The sequence below is a fragment of the Homo sapiens genome, chromosome 17 (genome assembly GCF_000001405.40).
Source record: "Homo sapiens chromosome 17, GRCh38.p14 Primary Assembly".
Lineage (NCBI taxonomy): Eukaryota > Metazoa > Chordata > Mammalia > Primates > Hominidae > Homo > Homo sapiens.
The window spans coordinates 48,647,252-48,665,964 of NC_000017.11; the positions used below are offsets into that span (position 1 = coordinate 48,647,252).

At 43.9% G+C, this 18,713-nt stretch overlaps 1 long non-coding RNA gene across 5 annotated transcripts in view, besides 1 other annotated feature; it reads left to right on the plus strand.

Annotated features, from left to right (window-relative positions):
• Nucleotides 1-18,713, plus strand: part of LINC02086 (long intergenic non-protein coding RNA 2086) — a 64,720-nt gene that overhangs the window by 4,625 nt on the left and 41,382 nt on the right. For 4 of the 5 annotated variants that reach the window (NR_189645.1, NR_189644.1, NR_189647.1 and 1 more), the window contains exons 2-3: nt 5,138-5,182; nt 5,620-5,723. This is a non-coding gene — a long non-coding RNA (long intergenic non-protein coding RNA 2086). Of the gene's footprint in view, nt 1-5,137; nt 5,183-5,619; nt 5,724-8,396; nt 8,448-18,713 lie in introns of all 5 variants that reach the window. The other variant, NR_189648.1, reaches the window with a different exon arrangement.
• Nucleotides 185-394: an enhancer, noted in NCBI's record as "active region_12339". NCBI's record gives its function as "activates an Ori minimal core promoter by ATAC-STARR-seq in GM12878 lymphoblastoid cells {active_cell/tissue: GM12878}" and the evidence as "EXISTENCE:reporter gene assay evidence [ECO:0000049][PMID:35858748]".

Below are 18,713 nucleotides of genomic sequence, written 5' to 3' on the forward strand. Positions count from 1 at the left end.
CAAAAGAGGTAGAGGAGAAAGCTGAGTCCCAGGGGCTGAAAGAAGCCATGGGCGTCTGAAGCGAGCGACAAGTTATCCTTGGGAGTTGGAAATGTGAGAGGGAGGGGCGAGGCCGAAGGAGGCTGAGAAGGGGAGGGGGCGCTCACACCCTGGGCGGGAGGCGACTGATCCACACTTAGGGCTCCGAATCCGGAGAAAGAGAGCGCCGGACCCTCCTCCGCCCACCTCCCGCCCCAGCCGCAGCCCAGCGACTTCCCGCCATCCTCGGCCACCGAGCGGCTCCTGCCTGGGGTTGTTCGACCGGGATGGCTGCACCAGGCTGAAGGTTGTCCCTCTACCTGCCTCCTTTCTTCTGTTCCCTGTGCCTTACATGGGTTCCTCCCTATTCTATGAACCCAGAGGGAACGACCTTGGCCAAGGTTAGAGAAGGAGCTTGAAAGTTTCACTTTCCATCTTAGCCCTCAGGACGCCTTTGCGTTTTGGCCCTTCGTTAGCGTGCTATCCTGGAATTGCAGGCTCTTCTCTTTATTTCTGAGACCCAAATAGAGGTTTAACCTCCTTAAAATCAGTGAAACTACGACAAACAGTGGCATTCCTGGCTGTCTGGTCTCTAAGGAGTGCCCCCCCTCCCTGACCTCAGCCCTGAGACCCTGCTTCCTCCTCAACCTGCATGGGACTGGGGACACCCCCTCACAATCCAGTCCCTTCCTGCAGGTGGTTGTCCAGGGGGCATGTAGAGGTGTGCCTGAGCTCTGTGTCCTAAGCCTGGCTCTGCCACTGACTTCAGCCCCCACCCCTTCTCCTTTTAGGCCTCAGTTTTTCCTCTGTAAAATGGGCAGAGTGATTTTACAAGTGATTTTACCAAGTGAGAACTGTTGAAATATCTTACTATAATTGTGGATTTGTCCATTTCTCCTTTCAATTCTATCATTTTCGGTGCTTCATATATTTTTGAAGCTCTGTTATTAGGTGTGTACATTTAAGGTTGATGTGTCTTCCTAGGTGTGTACCACATTTAGATTTAGGATTGATGTGTCTTCTTTTTTGAGATGAAGTCTTGATCTGTCACCCAGGCTGGAGTGCAATGGTGCAATCTCGGCTCACTGCAACCTCCGCCTCTTGAGTTCAAGCGATTCTCCCACTTCAGCCTCCCGAGTAGCTGGGACCACAGGTGTGTGCCACCACGCCCAGCTAATTTGTGTAGTTTTAGTAGAGACGGGTTTTCACCATGTTGGCCAGGCTGGTCTCGGCTCCTGACGTCAGGTGATCCGCTTGCCTCAGCCTCCCAAAGTGCTGGGATTAGAGGTGTGAGCCACGGCTCCTAGCCATGATATGTCTTCTTATGCTTTGCTTCTGCAGCCTCCTCTCATTTGCAGGTTCTGTTGAGCTTGAACCGCTGAGAGAAAAATGCATCCAAATGGGAATTTTATTCTATATCCACGTAAACATGAATATAGAAATATGACAAAACTAAATTTTGCTTCCAAAATGTTTTTGTTTTGTTTTGTTTTTGTTTTTTTGTTTGTTTGTTTTTTCTGAGACAGAGTTTCGCTCTTGTTGCCCAGGCTGGAGTGCAATGGCACAATCCCAGCTCACCGCAACCTCTGCCTCCCGGGTTCTCCTGCCTCAGCCTCCCTAGTAGCTGGGATTACAGGCATGTGCCACCATGCGCAGCTAATTTTTTGTATTTTTAATAGAGACGGGGTTTCTCCATGTTGGTCAGGCTGGTCTCGAACTCCCGACCTCAGGTGATCCGCCCGCCTCAGCCTCCCAAAGTGCTGAGATTACAGGCATGAGCCACTGCACCCGGCCAACGCCCAGCTAATTTTGTATTTTTAGTAGAGATGGGGTTTCTCCAGTTCGTCAGGCTGGTCTCGAACTCCCTACCTCAGGTCATCCGCCCGCCTCAGCCTCCCAAAGTGCTGGGATTACAGGCGTGAGCCACCATGCCCGGCCCCAGAATTTTTTCTATTTGGGTCTATTTTTCTACTTTTTCTTCACTTTTTGTTGATATATAGTATTATAGAACCTAATATTAAACCTCTGGCTCAATATATTTTTGCATAGATCCCATCTGTGTAACCACCACCTAGATCAAGATGTTTCCGGCTTACCAGAAGGCCCCATTGTAACTCCTACCAATCAATAGCTCTCTGGTCAATCCCTCCATACCCCCTAACAATTATTTGGCTTTCTATCACCATAGATTAGTTTTGTCTAATCCTTCAACTTCATATAAACATAAGTATGTATTCTTTTGTCTGGCTTCATCTGCTCAGTATTACTTGTGTGGGACTCATCCATGGTGTTGTATATGGCAGCAGTTCATTCATTTTATCATTGTGTCATATTAGTTGTATGAATATATTACAATGTATTTAACCTGTTTGGCTCTTGGTGGACTTAAGGGTTATTTTCAGTTTGGAGCTATAATGAAAAAGCTGTTATGAACATTACATCTGTGTCTTTTGATGGATGCCTGGACTTGGAGACCCAGGAGTGGAAATGCTGGATAACAGAGTAGGAAAATGTTTGTTTGTTAAATAATGACAGTTTTCCAAAGTGGTTGACCAGTTTACACTCCCACTAGTAATGTGTGAGATCCATAGAGAAGTAAGCTTTACAAAAAAAAAAAATGACAGAGAGGACTCAGGATCCAGTTACTGCATATCCCTACCAACACCTGACACTGTCTCTCTTCATTCTGGTGGGTTTGTGGTAATCTTGCAATGAGGTTTTTTGCTTGTTTGCTTTTCGGAGTTGTTTTTTTTTTTTTTTTTTGTACATTTAAAAAATTGTGGTAAAAACATATAATAAATTTTACCATCTTAACCTTGTTTAAGTGTACAATTCAGTATGTTAAGCACATTCACACTGTTGTGCCACAGATCTCTAGAATATTTCCATCTTTCAAAACGGGACTCAATACCCACTGAGTAAAAACCGCCCCCCCATTCCCCTCTTTCCCCAGCACCTGGCAATTATCATTTTACTTTGTTTCTATAAGTTTGAATACTTTAGATACCTCATATAAGTGGAATCATACTGTATTTGTCTTTTTCTGACTGATTTGTTTCACTTTGCATGTCTTCAAGTTTCACCCACACTGTAGCATGTGACAGGATTTCTTTATTTTTAAAGGCTAAGTAATATTCCATTATATTTATATACTACATTTTGCTTATCCATTCATCCATTGATGGCCGTTTAGTTTGCTCCCACCTCTTAGCTGTTGTGAACAGTGCTGCAATGAATATGGGTGTGCAAGTATCTCCTCAAGCTCTCTCTTGCTCTCAGTCCTTTTGGGTATATATTAAGAAGTAGTATTGGCCAGGTGCAGTGGCTCATGCCTGTAATCCCAGCACTTTGTGAGGCCGAGGCAGGTGGATCACCTGAGGTTAGGAGTTCGAGACCAGCCTGACCAACATGGTGAAACCCCATCTCTACTAAAAACACAAAATTAGCCGGGCATGATGGCGGGTACCTGTAATCCCAGCTACTCGGAAGGCTGAGGCAGGAGAGTCACTTGAACCTGGGAGGCGGTGGTTGCAGTGAGCCAAGATCGCACCATTGCACTCCAACCTGGGCAACAAGAGCAGAACTCCATCTCAAAATAAATAAATAAATAAATAAATAAATAAATAAATAAATAAATGAAGTAGTATTGCTGAGTCATATGGTAATCCTATTTTTAATTTTTCTGAGGAATCTGCATACTGTTTTCCGTAGTGGCTGCACCATTTTACAGTCCCACCAACAGAGCACAGCGTACAAATTACTCCACATCCTTGTCAGCACCTGTTAATTTTTGTTTTGTTTTGTTTTGTTTTTTGATAGTGTCTATCCTAATGGGTGTGAGGTGATGGCTCACTGTAGTTTTTTGTTCTTTGGCTTTTTTTCTTTTCTTTTTTTCGAGACAGAGTCTCGCTCTGTTGCCCAGGCTGGAGTGCAGTGGCGCAATCTCGGCTCACTGCAACCTCCGCCTCCTGGGTTCACGCCATTCTCCTCCCTCAGCCTCCCGAGTAGCTGGGACTACAGGCACCCACCACTACGCCTGGCTAATTTTTTGTATTTTTAGTAGAGACGGGGTTTCACCGTGTTAGCCAGGATGGTCTCGATCTCCTGACCTCGTGATCCGCCCACCTCGGCCTCCCAAAGCGCTGGGATTACAGGCTTGAGCCACTGGGCCTGGCCTTTTTTTTTTTTTTTTTTTTAAGATAGGGTCTCTCTCTGTCACCTAGGCCAGAGTACAGTGGCACAATCATAGCTCACTGCAGCCTTGAACTTCTGGGCTCAAGTGATCCTCCCGCCTCAGCCTCCCAAGTATCTGGGACTACAGGCGTGTGCCACCACTCCTGGCTTATTTAAAAAAGCACTGGGATTACAGGCATGAGCCTCCATGCACAGCTGTGGGAAGAGTTCTGATACAAATTCAATTTCTTGCCGGGCACAGTGGCTCACGCCTGTAATCCCAGCACTTTGGGAGGCCAAGGCAGGTGGATCACCCGAGGTCTGGAGTTTGAGACCACCTTGACCAACATGGAGAAACACTGTCTCTACTAAAAATACAAAATTAGCCGGGCGTGGTGGCACATGCTTGTAATCCCAGCTACTCGGGAGGCTGAGGCAGGAGAATCACTTGAACCAGGGAGGCAGAGGTTGCTGTGAGCCAAGATCGCGCCGTTGCACTACAGCCTGGGCAACAAGAGCAAAACTCCGTCTCAAAAAAAAAAAAAAAATTCAATTTCTTTTCATACATAAGACTATTCAGATTATATATTTCTTCTTGGGAAAGCTTTGGTAGTTTGTGTTTTTCAATAAATTTGTTAATGTATTCCATAGTGTTGAGTTTATTTGCATATAGTTGTTCCTAATATTTCCTTAGTATCTTCTTTTTAATGTCTATATGATCTGTAGTGATGTTCATTCATTCCTGATAATGGTAATTTGTGTTTTTTCTTTTTTTCTTGATCAGTCTGCCTTTTAAAAAACTGGCTGTTCTTAAAACTGGCTGGTTTCATTTTCTGTATTGTTTACACATTTTCTATTTCAGTAATTTTCACTCATCTATATTATTTCCTTCCTTCTGCTTACTTTGGGTTTAATTTGCTCTTTTATTTTTTTCTAACTTCTTAAGGTGCAAGCTTAAAGTGTTGCTGCCAGACCTTTCTTCTCTTCTAATGTAAGTATTTGATGCTATAATGTCCCTGTGAGCACTTCCTTAACTGCATTTACACTTTGTGACATGTGGTATTGTTCAATTTCCTTTAGTTCAAAATATTTTCTAATTTTCTTCATGCTTTCTTATTTGATCTACGGGTTAAGTTTGTGTTGTTTCATTTCCAGATGTTTTGGCTATTGTTGTTATTGATTTTCAGTTTACTTCTGTTCTGGTCAGGGAACATAATTTATATAATTTCAATCCTTCTCAATTTATTGAGAATTAATTTATGGCTCAGATTATGGTCTATTTTGGTGAATGTTCCATGTACACTTGAAAAGAATGTGGACTCCGCTATTGCTGAGTGGAATATCTGTAAAGATCGATAAGGTCAAAGTATTTGATGTTGTTCAAATCTTCTGTATACTTACTGATTTTCTTTTTACTTCTTCTATCAGTTACCAAGTGAAGAATGTTGAAATATCCAACTATAATTTGTGGATTTCTCCTTTCAATGCTATCATTTTTGGTGCTTCATGTATTTTTGAAGCTCTATTATTAGGTATGTACCACATTTAGGATTGATATATTTTCTTAGTGAAATGACCCCTTTGTCATTATGTAATGCTCTTCTTTGTCCATGGCTATAGTCCTTGTTCTAAAGCGTAACTTATTTTCTAATATATATATATATATATATATATATATATACATATATATACTAGAATATATATACAATAGATTATGTATCTATATTCTATATATGTATATATATACTAGTATGTATATGTGTGTGTGTGTGTGTGTGTGTGTGTGTGTATATATATATATATATATATATATATATATATATATATATATGGCCAGCGTGGTGGCTCATGCCTGTAATCCCAGCACTTTGGGAGGCCGAGGTGGGCAGATCTTTTGAGTCCAGGAGTTTGAGACAGACTGGCCAACATGGCAAAACCCCACCTCTACTAAAGTATACAAATTATGCCAGACGCGGTGGCTCACACCTGTAATCACAGCAGTTTAGGAGGCCGAGGCGGGTGGATCACTTGAGGTCAGCAGTTTGAGACCAGCCTGGCCAACATGGTGAAACCTCATCTCTACTAAAAATACAAAAATTAGCCTGGTGTGGTGGTGCATGCCTGTAATCCCAGCTACTCTGGAGACTGAGGCAGGAGAATTGCATGAACCCAGGAGGCAGAGGTTGCAGTGAGCCGAGATGGCACCATTGCACTCCAGCAATAGAGCGAGACTCTGTCTCAAAAAATAAAAATAAAAATAAAAAAATAACCGGGCGTGGTGGCGTGTGCCTGTAATCCCAGCCTCTGAGGAGGCTGAGGCACAAGAATCTCTTGAACCTGGGAGGTGAAGGTTGCAGTGAGCCATGATCACCACCACTGCACTCCAACCTGGGCAACAGAGATCCTGTCTCAAAAAAATATATATATATATCATATTAATATAGTCACTCAAACTTTTTTTTGATGTGAATGGGAATTTTTATCCTTTTATTGTTGATCTATCTGTGTCTCTATATTTAAAAGCGATTTATTGTGGGCAGAATATGGTTGAGTCTTGTGTTTGTTTGTTTGTTTGTTTGTTTTTGAGATGGAGTCTTGCTCTGTCACCCAGGCTGGAGTACAGTGGTGCAATCTCGGCTCACTGCAAGCTCCGCCTCCCGGGTTCATGCGGTTCTCCAGCCTCAGCCTCCTGAGTAGCTAGGACTACAGGCGAGTCTTGTGTTTTTATTCAGTCTGACAATCTCTACTCTTATATTGATATTTAAACCTATTGACTTGGTTAAGTTGAAATCTACCATCTTGCTATCTGTTTTTTATTTATACTATCTGTTATTTGTTCCCCTTTTCCTCTTTTTCTGCCTTTTTTTAGATTGAATATGTTTTAAGATTTCTTTTTGTTGTTGTTGTTTTGTTTTTGAGACGGAGTTTCATTCTTGTTCCCCAGGCTAGAGTGCAATGGCACAATCTTGGCTCACTGAAACCTCCGCCTCCTGGGTTCAAGCGATTCTCCTGTCTCAGCCTCTGGAGCAGCTGGGATTACAGGCGCATGCCACCATGCCCGGCTAATTTTTGTATTTTTAGTAGGGATGGGGTTTCACCATGTTGGCCAGGCTGGTCTCGAACTCCTGACCTCAGGTGATCTGCCAGCCTCGGCCTCCCAAAGTGCTGGAATTACAGGTGTGAGTCACTGGGCCTGGTCAGGATTTCTTTCATTTCAACTAACTGTTGGCTTATTAACCCTACTTTTTTGTTTTAATTTTTAGTGGTTACTGTTATTTTAATGTATTAGTCAGATTTTTCCAGAAAAACAAAACCTATAGGAGATAGATAGGTAGATAGATAGATAGATAGATAGACAGACAGAGGAGGATTTACTATAAGGAATTGGCTTGCATGATTATGGAGGCTGAGAAGTCCCAAGATCTGCAGTTGACAAGCTGGGGACCCAGGAGCATCAGTGGCATAACTCCAGTCTGAATCTGTGTCTAAAGGCTGGAGAAGATCAGTGTTCCAGCTCAAAAACATTCAGGCAGGGAGAGCCTTCCACTACTGGCAGGAGCGCCTTTTTGTTCTTGTCAGTTCTTCAATCGATTGGATGTGGTCCACCCATATTAGGGAGGGCAATGTGCTTTACTCAGTCTATTGATTCAAATAATGTCATGCAGAAACACCCTTGTAGACGTACCCAGAATAATGTTTAACTGAATATCTGGCACCCCATGGCCTAGTCAAGTTGACACATAAAATTAACCATCACATTTGAGATTTATAATTTGCATCTTTAACTTATCACGGTCTATCTGCAAAGAATATTATATCACTTAGCTGGGCGTAGTGCTGTGTGCCTATAGTCCCAGCTACTCAGGAGGCTAAGTGGGGAGGATTGCTTGAGCCCTGAAGTTCGAGGCTGCAGTGAGCTGCGATCACATCACTGCTCTCCAGCCTGGGCTACAGAGAAAGAGCTTGTCTCTAAAAAAATTAAAAATAAAATAAAAAGAATATTACCTCATGTATGGTGATACAATAGTATACTTCTATTTCCTTCTCTTTTGTGGCTATTGCTGACATATAATTTATCTGTAGCTATGAGCCCTGCAGTACATTGCTATTATGTTTTGCTTAAATAGTAAATTGTCTTTTAAATATATTAAAATGAAATAAGGTGTTTTATATTTATATGCATATTTAACATTTGTATACTGCAGGTATGCTGGCGACAGTTTCTTTTAGCTTTTGTCTGAAATAGTCATTTAAAGGTAAAACATTTTAAAACTTTATAATTTGCAATAATATTATACTTATGAAGAATTACAAAATTGCCCAAAAAATTTCCATAAACCTATTTCCCAATTTCTTCATACGGTAACATCCACAAAACTACCATCCAAACTAAAAGATTGACATTGATACAATACTATTAGCTCACCTGGAGACCTTATTCCAGTTTTGTCCATTGTCCTACTATTGCCCCTTTTCTTGACCAGTATTCAATCTAGGGTTGCTTATTGCCTTTAATTGTCTTTTCTTCTTAGTCTCCTTTAATCTGGGATAGTTCCTCAGGCTTCCTTTCTTGACACTTGTGCTGGTTGTTTGTGGTTGCCCTGCAGAGCAAAGATCAGCAACTCTACCCAAATGTGGTTTGAATGTGGAGACTGATGATGCCACATATACACAAAGAGGGCATGAGGCATTCTGGGCAGAGCACAACAGGCTCCCCAAAAGGCCCCAAAATGGCTTGAGAACAAGGGAGGGGCAAGTTGCCTTGGGTCTTATTGAGGTTAAGGGCTGGGGATAGGGCATGGTTTTCCCATGCACAGGCCAGTGTTTGAACTTCCCTGCTGGAGCCAAGGGAGGAAACACCTAGGCTTTTTTGTCTACCAAATGGAGGGCAAAAGATTAAGGAGGAGTTGTGGGGCTTCAAAGCTGTCAGTGGTCAAACATCAAATATGGAATTGGATTCTGTTACAATTCACCCCTGATGTTTAATGGATTACTGAAATGTATCCTGTTTTTTTAAATTAAATTTAAACCTGTTTAAGTATGCTGTGATGGTACTCTATGAGGCCTGCAGCCTGAGGCCAGTAAGGGGGATAAAATTTCTGTTCAATGCCTTCTTATTAAAGAGCCTAATGTTATGTATTTTGAGAAGTGAAATGAATGCCTCGGTCACTCTCAAGAATGTATGGAACTCTGAAGGGGATAAGGAGTATCTTGGTGAGGCCTTGTATTGTGGCTTGAGTATGTGCAGAGATATATCTGACCTTGATTTATATTTCTGGGTATCTTCAAGCAAGACATTTCCAGAGTTCTTTACCCCAAAGAGGATGACCTTGGATAAAGAACTGTTGTTGCCATTAGTCAGACCAGATAGCCAGGTAATTGGCAATGGCCTAAGGGTCTGAAAAATGTTAAGATGGGGTTGCTTATTGGGCAGGGCATCCTTTGTTGCTAAGATGACTGCTTGAAGTTTGGCAAATTGTGTGGACCCTTGGGTCCTGTCTTTTATCAGGGATGTCTGTTAAGGGATGGAAAACACAAATAGAATCAGTTGTGACGGTAGCACTGCCATTTTTAAAGTATGTGAATTCCCTTTGCTGTTCACTCAGTTGATCCCAAAGGGATCCCCAAGAAGCCAAGGGGTCTGAGAGAGGAATGACCTCCTTCAGCACTGTGGTGTCTGGCCAGAAACTGAGGACAGGGGAGCCCATGGCCTCCTGCAGGCAGGATATGCTACAGGACCCAGATTTGGCTCCATACTGTAGATACTATTTTCATTTTAGCAAGGAAGCCTCAATAGCCATGCCAAGCTTTGGGGGTGTGCCTTCCATGGCCCAAGGCATAGCGGGCAGCTAGTGTGTCATGGTCTCAAGGCCTGTAAGAGCCTCCTTTTTTGGAAGAGTCCAGTATGCAGTCAGCTATTGTCACTCTAATAATGTATAGCATCAGGCTGAGGAAGGCGATTTCTTGCATCGGAAACCCACAGACTATTTATGGCCATCATAAGTGAACCAAAGACTCTGGAAGTATGAGAGGAGGTTGCTAAAGCCTCTACAGTGAAGGAATTTCTGGGGAGCACTAACAGTCTCTGGAAGTATGAGAGGAGGTTGCTAAAGCCTCTACAGTGAAGGAATTTCTGGGGAGCACTAACAGTAGGGTCTGTCCTTTTGCAATTTGAACAGGTTTTAAGCCTTTTGTTTTAGTGGACCCCATTCAGGTGAACCAATTTGTAAGGAACAGCAAAAATGGGCTTAAGTAGGGCCGGGTGCAGTGGTTCACACCTGTAATCCCAGCACTTTGGGAGGCCAAAGCGGGTGGATAACTTGAGGTCAGGAGTTCGAGACCAGCCTGGCCAACATGCTGAAACCCCGTTTCTACTAAAAAAATACAAAAAAATTAGCTGAGCGTGGTGGTGGGTGCGTGTTATCCCAGCTTCTTGGGAGGCTGAGGCAGGAGGATCACTTGAACCTGAGAAGCAGAGGTTGCAGTGAGCCAAGATCATGCCACTGCAGTCCAGCCTTGGTGGCAGAGGGAGATTCTGACTCAAAAAAAAAAACCAAAAATGTCTTAATTAAAATTTGCAAAGGAGGAACATGTTGCTTCAGAACCCCCAGAGTTCTAAAAGATACTGGGCTTTTAGCATTGTGGGTGCTAAGAGGGTCAATAGAGATTTCTTGACAATGTCAGAAATGTCAAGGATAAACAGCTCTCAATTTACTAAGTAATACCCAGAAATTTTACTGAGGTATACTTGTGCTTGTACCTTGTACTTTGTGTGGAAGAAATGACCCATCCTTTTTCATGAGCTGCCTTTTGAATGTTTGTATGCGTTAAATTAGTGTATCAAATGAATTTCCACTGCACCCAACTACTTCAGGAGGCTGAGAGGGGAGGATCGTTTGAGCCCAGGAGTTTGAGGCTGCAGTGTGCTATGACTGTACTTGTGAATAGCTACTGCACTCCAGCCTGGGCAACATCATAAGATCCTGTCTTTTTATTTTTATTATTTATTTATTTATTTATTTTTTTTTTTCGAGACAGAGTCTCACACTGTTGCCCAGGCTGGAGTGCAGTGGCGTGATCTCGGATCACTGCAAGCTCAGCCTCCTGGGTTCATGCCATTCTCCTGCCTCAGCCTCCCGAGTAGCTGGGACTACAGGCACCTGCCGCCACATCCGGCTATTTTTTTTGTATTTTTAGTAGAGACGGGGTTTCACCATGTTGGCCAGGATGGTCTCGATCTCTTGACCTCATGATCCACCCACCTCGGCCTCCCAAAGTGCTGGGATTACAGGCGTGAGCCACCGCGCCCGGCCTCAAGACCCTGTCTTTTTAAAAAATTAATTTCCTCTGAGAAGGATGTCATATATCTAACATCATACTTGTGTTTCTGGAGAGAGTTGGATGCAGTTAAGGTTTTTGTTTGCAAAGATCGTGTGCAATGGCAGGTCTGTTGGGGGTCCCATGGGTAGTTAGTATATTGTGTCCATGCAATGGTAAAGACAAGCTGGCTGAAACGGGAACTTAAGAGAACATATTAGCCCAAATATATGATAGCAAAGTATTTGCCAGTTGCTGATTGGAGGGAGGCAGTAATTTTAGTAGTATAGAAGCTGGCCTGTTTTTTACTCACAACACTTCTGACACTAAATGTATGGGTTTTTTCCCCTATACCAACTGATATGGTTTGACTGTGTTCCCACCCAAATCTCATCTTGAATTGTAACTCCCACAATTCCTACATGTCGTGGGAGGAACCCAGTGGGAAGTAATTGAAACATGAGGGTGGGTCTTTCCTGTGCTATTCTCATGATAGTGGATAAGTCTCACAAGATCTGATGGTTTTAAAAACGGGAGTTTCCCTGCACAAGCTCTCTTTCTCTTGCCTGCTGCCATCCATGTAAGATGTGATTTGTTCCTCCTTGCCTTCTGCCATGATCGTGAGGCCTCCCCAGCCATTTGGAATTGTAAGTCCATTATACCTCTTTTCTTCCCAGTCTCGGGTATATCTTTATCAGCAGCCTGAAAACGACCTAATACACCAACCAATTCTCCAACTCTCTGAAAACCAACTGGGTGTCCAGCAATTCAGTTTCATTCTGACACTATCTACCTGGAGTTCACATCAGTTCCCACGAGATTGCCCCATCTTTAGAGACCAGTCACAAGTCCCAGGCCTCCTGTACTTCTGACTGGCCAGTTAAAAATCGGGTGTTCTCATGACCCCCTCCTCAGTTTCCATAATTTACTGGAATAGCTCACAGAACTCGGGAAAATACTTTACTTACATTTACTGGCTTATTATAAAGGATGCAATTCAGGAACAGCCAGATGGAAGAGATGCCCAGGGAAGGGTATTGAGCGGGGGTGGAGGAGGGTACCCCCAGAGTTTCCATGCCCTGAGTGCTTCACTCTCCCGGGACCTCCACGTGTTTACAGAACCCTGTAGGGTAGAAGGGACTTATGGAGGTTTAATTACCTAGGCATGATTGATTAAATTATTGGCCATTGGTGACTGATTCAATCTCCAGCCCTCTCCCCGCCCCATAGGTCTGAGATGAGCCTGAAAGTTCCAAACTTTTAATGCCTTGGTCTTTCTGATCATCAGCCCCCATCTTGAAGCTATCTAGCACTCCCAGCTAATCATTTCATTAGCATGCAAAAGACACATATTAGCCTAAAGATTTCAAGGGTTTCAGGAGTGCCAGGAACTCTTAAGTGGAACTGCAGCATTATGATTGTGGTAATCCACCATCAGGCATCCTTCATTCATTCTAGGTTTAAGACCAGGACAATTTGGAGTGGAGAAAAACTGGGGACAATCACCCTTCTCTAAATAGGTCTTATATAATGGGTTTTGAGCTTATGGCTAGGTGCGGTGGCTCACATCTGTAATCCTAGCACTTTGGGAGGCTGAGGCATGTGGATTGCATGAGTCCAGGAGTTTGAGACCAGCCTGGAAAACATGGGAAAAAACCCATCTCTACAAACAAAAATACAAAAATTAGCCGAAACAAGTGGCGTGTGCCTGTAGTCCTAGCTACTAGGGAGGCTGAGGTGGCAGGATCACCTGAACCTGGGAAGGGGAAGCTGCAGTGAGCTGAGATTGCACCACTGCACTCCAGCCTGGGCCACAGAGTGAGACCCTGTCTCGAAAAGGTCCTAGTACATTTTATTTATTTATTTTTTATACAGAGTCACTCTCAGGATACCTAGTTTTATCTGTGTGAACAGTTTTAATAGGTTATGATAAAGGCTCAGGTTCTCATTTTGTTAAGCCAGTTGTAATTGCCAAAAACTTAATTTTGTTTTTGTTTAGTACTCACTAGGCCAGAGTACATGTCCATTGTGGAATATTTTAGGGCAACAGGCACTATGAATATGGGGAATTTAGGCAAATCAATAGTTCTTCTTCTTCTTTTCTTTTTTTTTTTTTTTTTTTTTTTTTTTTTGAGACAGAGTCTCGCTCTGTCGCCCAGGCTGGAGTGCAGTGCCATGATCTCGGCTCACTGCAACATCTGCCTCCTGGGTTCAAGCGATTCTCCTGCCTCAGCCTCCAGAGTAGCTGGGACTACAGGCGCGTGCCACCACACCTGGCTAATTTTTTTGTGTGTTATCCAGGCTGGTCTCGATCTCCTGACCTCGTGATCTGCCTGCCTCGGCATCCCAAAGAGCTTTTATTACAGGCATGAGCCACCGCGCCCAGCCTAGTTTTGTATTTTTTAGTAGAGATGGAGTTTCACCATATTGGCCAGGCTGGTCTCGAACTCCTGACCTCAGGTAATCCACCTGCCTTGGCCTCCCAAAGTGTTGGGATTATAGGCATGAGCCACCACGCCTGGCCTAAAGTTAATTTAGAACTTATGTTGTACAAGTGCAAAAGCCAACAAGACCCTCCCTTCCTTCTTTAAATATCTTTTTATTGTATAGTTTTTAGAGTAAATTTAAGATTTGCAACTGGGTTAAATCATGAACCTCTGTTAAGTTGTGTGTGTGTGTGTGTGTGTGTGTGTGTCTGGGGGGAGTTACTGGATGTACTTCAGGGGGAGGGAGCTTCTCTTCTCTGCTCATATTTACGTTTCTTCTTCTGGAGAGTCCCAAATCAGTACCCTCAGGGTTAGGGGCCACTTTCATGACAGCCATTTTCTTTTTTTTTTCTTTTTTTTTTTTTTTTGAGACGGAGTCTCGCTCTGTAGCCCAGGCTGGAGTGCAGTGGTGCGATCTCAGCTTACTGCAAGCTCCGCCTCCCGGGTTCACGCCATTCTCCTGCCTCAGCCTCCCGAGTAGGTGGGACTACAGGGGCCCGCTACGATGCCAGGCCAATTTTTTTTACTTTTAGTAGAGACGGGGTTTCACTGTGTTAGCCAGGATTATCTAGATCTCCTGACCTCGTGATCTGCCTGCCTTGGACTCCCAAAGTGCTGAGATTACAAGGCGTGAGCCACTGCACCTGGCCTTATGGCAGCCACTTTCATGGCAATTGTTATTTTATTTGATTTAGGGACTGTAGACTTAAGTTGGATTTTTATTTATTTTTTATTTTTTATTTTTTGGCAGTCTCGCTCTGTCTCCCAGGTTGGAGTGCAATGGTGTGATGTTGGCTCACTGCAGCCTCAAACTCATCAGCTCAAGTGATCCTACCACCTCATCCTCCAGAGTAGCTGGGACTATAGGCACCCAACACCACACCCAGCTGATTTTTGCATTTTTTGTAGAGATGGGGTTTTGCTGTGGTGCCCAGGCTAGTGGATTTTTTTTTTTTTTTTTGAGACAGGGTCTTACTCTGTTGCCCAGGCTGGAGTGCAGAGGCACAATCCCAGCTCAGTCCAACCTCTGCTACTAGGTTCAAGTGATTCTCACGCCTCAGCCTCCCCAGTAGCTGGGACTACACGCCCCCACCTCTGGCTAATTTTTGTATTTTTGGTAGAGATGGGGTTTTGCCATGTTGGCCAGGCTGGTCTCAAACTGCTGACCTCAAGTGATCTGCCCACCTCAGCCCCCCAAGTGTTGGGATTACAGGTACAGGCATGACTACTGCACCCAACCCCTGGATTTTTTTAATGACAAGGTCTTACTCTGTCACCCAGGCTGGAGTGCAGTGGCACAATCATGGCTCACTGCAGCCTCAAACTCCAGCAATCTTCTCACCTCAGCCCCCCAAGTAGCTGGGACTACAGGTACATGTCACCATACCTGGCTAATTTTAAAATTTTTTGTATAGATGAGGTTTTATTTGTTTGTTTGTTTTTTTGACAGAGTCACGCTCTGTTGCCAGGCTGGAGTACAGTGGCGCAATCTCAGCTCACTGCAACCTCCATCTCCCAGGTTCAAGCGATTCTCCTGCCTCAGCCTCTCGAGTAGCTGGGACTACAGGCACGCACCACCACACTCAGCTAATTTTTATGTTTTTAGTAGAGATGAGGTTTCACCATGTTGGCCAGCATGGTCTCAATCTCTTGACCTCGTGATCCGCCCGCCTCGGCCTCCCAAAGTGCTGGGATTACAGGCATGAGCCACCATGCCCGGCCTAGACGAGGTCTTACTATGTTTCCCAGGCTGATCTTGAACTCCTAGACTCCAGCAATTCTCCCACCTCAGCCTCCCAAAGCATTAAGATTACAGGCATGAACCACTGCACCCAGCCTTGAGTTGGATTTGAATGAATCCCTTGACAGTTTGATAAGGTGCAGCACTTAATCAAACCCAGCTTCTTTCTGGGTCTGTTTTATAGTTATCTGGTAGGGTGATGGTGGTGTCCTCTGACCCTTTAAGAGAGATGGAGTAAGGCATTCTGGCCTAGTTTTTATAAGGGTTCATGGCATGGAGTGCTATTGAGTGTTTTTATCTTTAATCCTGGTGACTGCGCTTCCTCACCGGAGCAACCACCAGATGGCCCTGTATGTTGCACAGAGTATCAGCCTTTCTCCTGCACACTCTATAGAACATAGGCTAATGCCTGGTTGGGACATACAACCAACAGTCACAAAATAATAAGTGTCATGCCCTTGAGCCTAGGATCGGCGATGGTTTATGCCAGAATCAAGACATACAATTCAATCTAAGATGCACAGATAGGTCCAGACGGGGCTCACATTTTAGGGCCACTTTAAGGACATCCTCAATTTCATATTTCTGTCTCAAAATGCCAATTATAGAAACTTTCAATTCAGGTCAGTTACATCTGTAACAGAGATTTAGTAGTCCTCAGCAAATGTGGAACAAAGCAGCACAGCTCGAAGTGTAAGCTTGCCAATAGGCAGCAGAATCAATAGCAAGCCAAAGTGAGAGGAGAGAGACCCCTGATGGTGGGTGGCTATCATCTAAGGTACGCTGTTCCCTGTGCCAGTTGTCTTGTGATTGCCCCACAGAGGAAGGGATCAAATCTCTACCCCAGATTTGGTTTAGACATCAAGATTGGTGATGCCACATACACACATACAGAGGGTTTGAAAAAGCTTATTACTCGTGTAATGAGGTTTTCTGTGCAGAACAGGGCAGGCTCTTAAGAAGGCCTAAAAACAGCTTGAGAACAAGGAGATGCAAGTGGCCCTGGGTTTTACTGTTAGGGAGTAAAGCTGGGGTGAGAGTTCTGATGCACAGGCCAGGGTTTTGTGGTTTGAATTTCCCTACTGGTGCAAGGGAGGAGAGTACCCTGGCATTAAGGGAGGAGAGTACCCTGGCATTATTATTCTTATCATTATTATTATTTTGGAGACAGAGTCTCACCCTGCTGCCCAGGCTGGAGTGCAGTGGTGCAATCTCGGTTCATTGCAACCTCTGCCTCCCAAATTCAAGCAATTCTCGTGCCTCAGCCTCCCAAGTTGCTGGGATTACTGGCATGCGCCACCATGCCCAGCTAATTTTGTATTTTCAGTAGAGATAGGGTTTTGCCATGTTGGCCAAGCTGGTCTCAAACTCCAGGCCTCAAGTGATCCGTCAACCTTGGCCTCCCAAAGTGCTGGGATTATAGGCGTGAGCCACCACGCCCAGCTTCTGCCTTTATTATTGGCTTGCCCAGGTTTTGGATAAAAGGGAAAGGAGGAGTGGGGGTGGGGGCTTGAAAACTCAGCAGTTGAACATCATGGAATCAACTAATTTATTACACTGGTCAATTATTTTGTAAAACTCGTCTCAATTTGAGTTTCATGTCTCTCATGACTAAACGTAAGCATACATTTTGGCATGAAAACCACAGAAGTGATGTTTACCTGTCTCAGTTCATGACATTATGAGGTACAGGATGCTAATAGGTGTCTCATGTTCATAGTTTAAAGATGGAAAAAATTTTAAGTTAATAGTTTTTATTTTAGTACTTTAAAGATGTTATTCCATTATCTTCCGGTGTACATAGTTTGTGACAAGAAGTCCACTGTATTTGTCTTCTTTGCCCTTCTAGGTAATGTGTTCATTTTTCTCTAGGTACTCTAAGATTTTCCTTATTAATTTTTCTATTTATTTATTTATTTATTTATTTATTTATTTTTAGATGGAATCTCATTCTGTTGCCCAGGCTGGAGTGCAGTGGTGTGATCTTGGCTCACTGCAACCTCCACCTCCTGAGTTCAAGCAATTTTCCTGTCTCAGCCTCCCGAGTAGCTGGGATTACAGGCATGTGCCACCATGCTTGGGTAATTTTTGTATTTTTTTTTTAGACAGAGTTTCATTCTTGTCACCCAGATTGGAGTGCAATGGTGCAATCTCAGCTCACTGCAACCTCCACGGTTCAAGCGATTCTCCAGCCTTAGCTTCCCGAGTAGGTGGGATTATAGGCACCTGCGCCACCACGCCCGGCTAATCTGTGTATTTTTAGTAGAGAAGGGGTTTCACTATGTTGGCCAAGCTGGTCTCGAACTCCTGACCTCAAATGATCCACCCACCTCAGCCTCCCAAAGTGCTGGCATTACAGGCGTGAGCCACCTCACCCAGCCTAATTTTTGTATTTTTAATGGAGATGGGGTTTTGCCATGTTGGCCAGGCTGGTCTCAAACTCCTGACCTGATGTAATCCGCCTGCCTCGGCCTCCTACAGTGCTGAAATTAGAGGCATGGGCTACCATGCCCAGCCTATTTTATTTATTTTTACTTACTTATTTTTTTTAGACAGAGTCTCACTCTGTTGCCCAAGCTGGAGTGCAGTGCAGTGGTGCAATCTTAGCTCACTTCAACCTCCGCCTCCCAGGTTCAAGCAATTCTCCTGCCTCAGCCTCCCCAGTAGCTGGGACTGCAGGCGTGCACCACTACGCCTGACTACTTTTTGTATTTTTAGTAGAGACAAGGTTTTGCTATGTTGGCCGGGCTGCTCTGCTCTTGAATTCCTGTTCTCAAGTGATCCACCTACTTCGGCCTCCCAAAATGCTGGGATTACAGGCATGAGCCACACGCCCAGCCAACCTTTTCAATAATTTGATTATGATGTGTCTTGGTTTTGATATTATCTTATAAGACATTGGTGCTCTGTTATTTTTGTGGATTTTCTGTGCTTTATTTTCAATAGTTTTTATTGCTATATTTTCAAGTTCACCAATC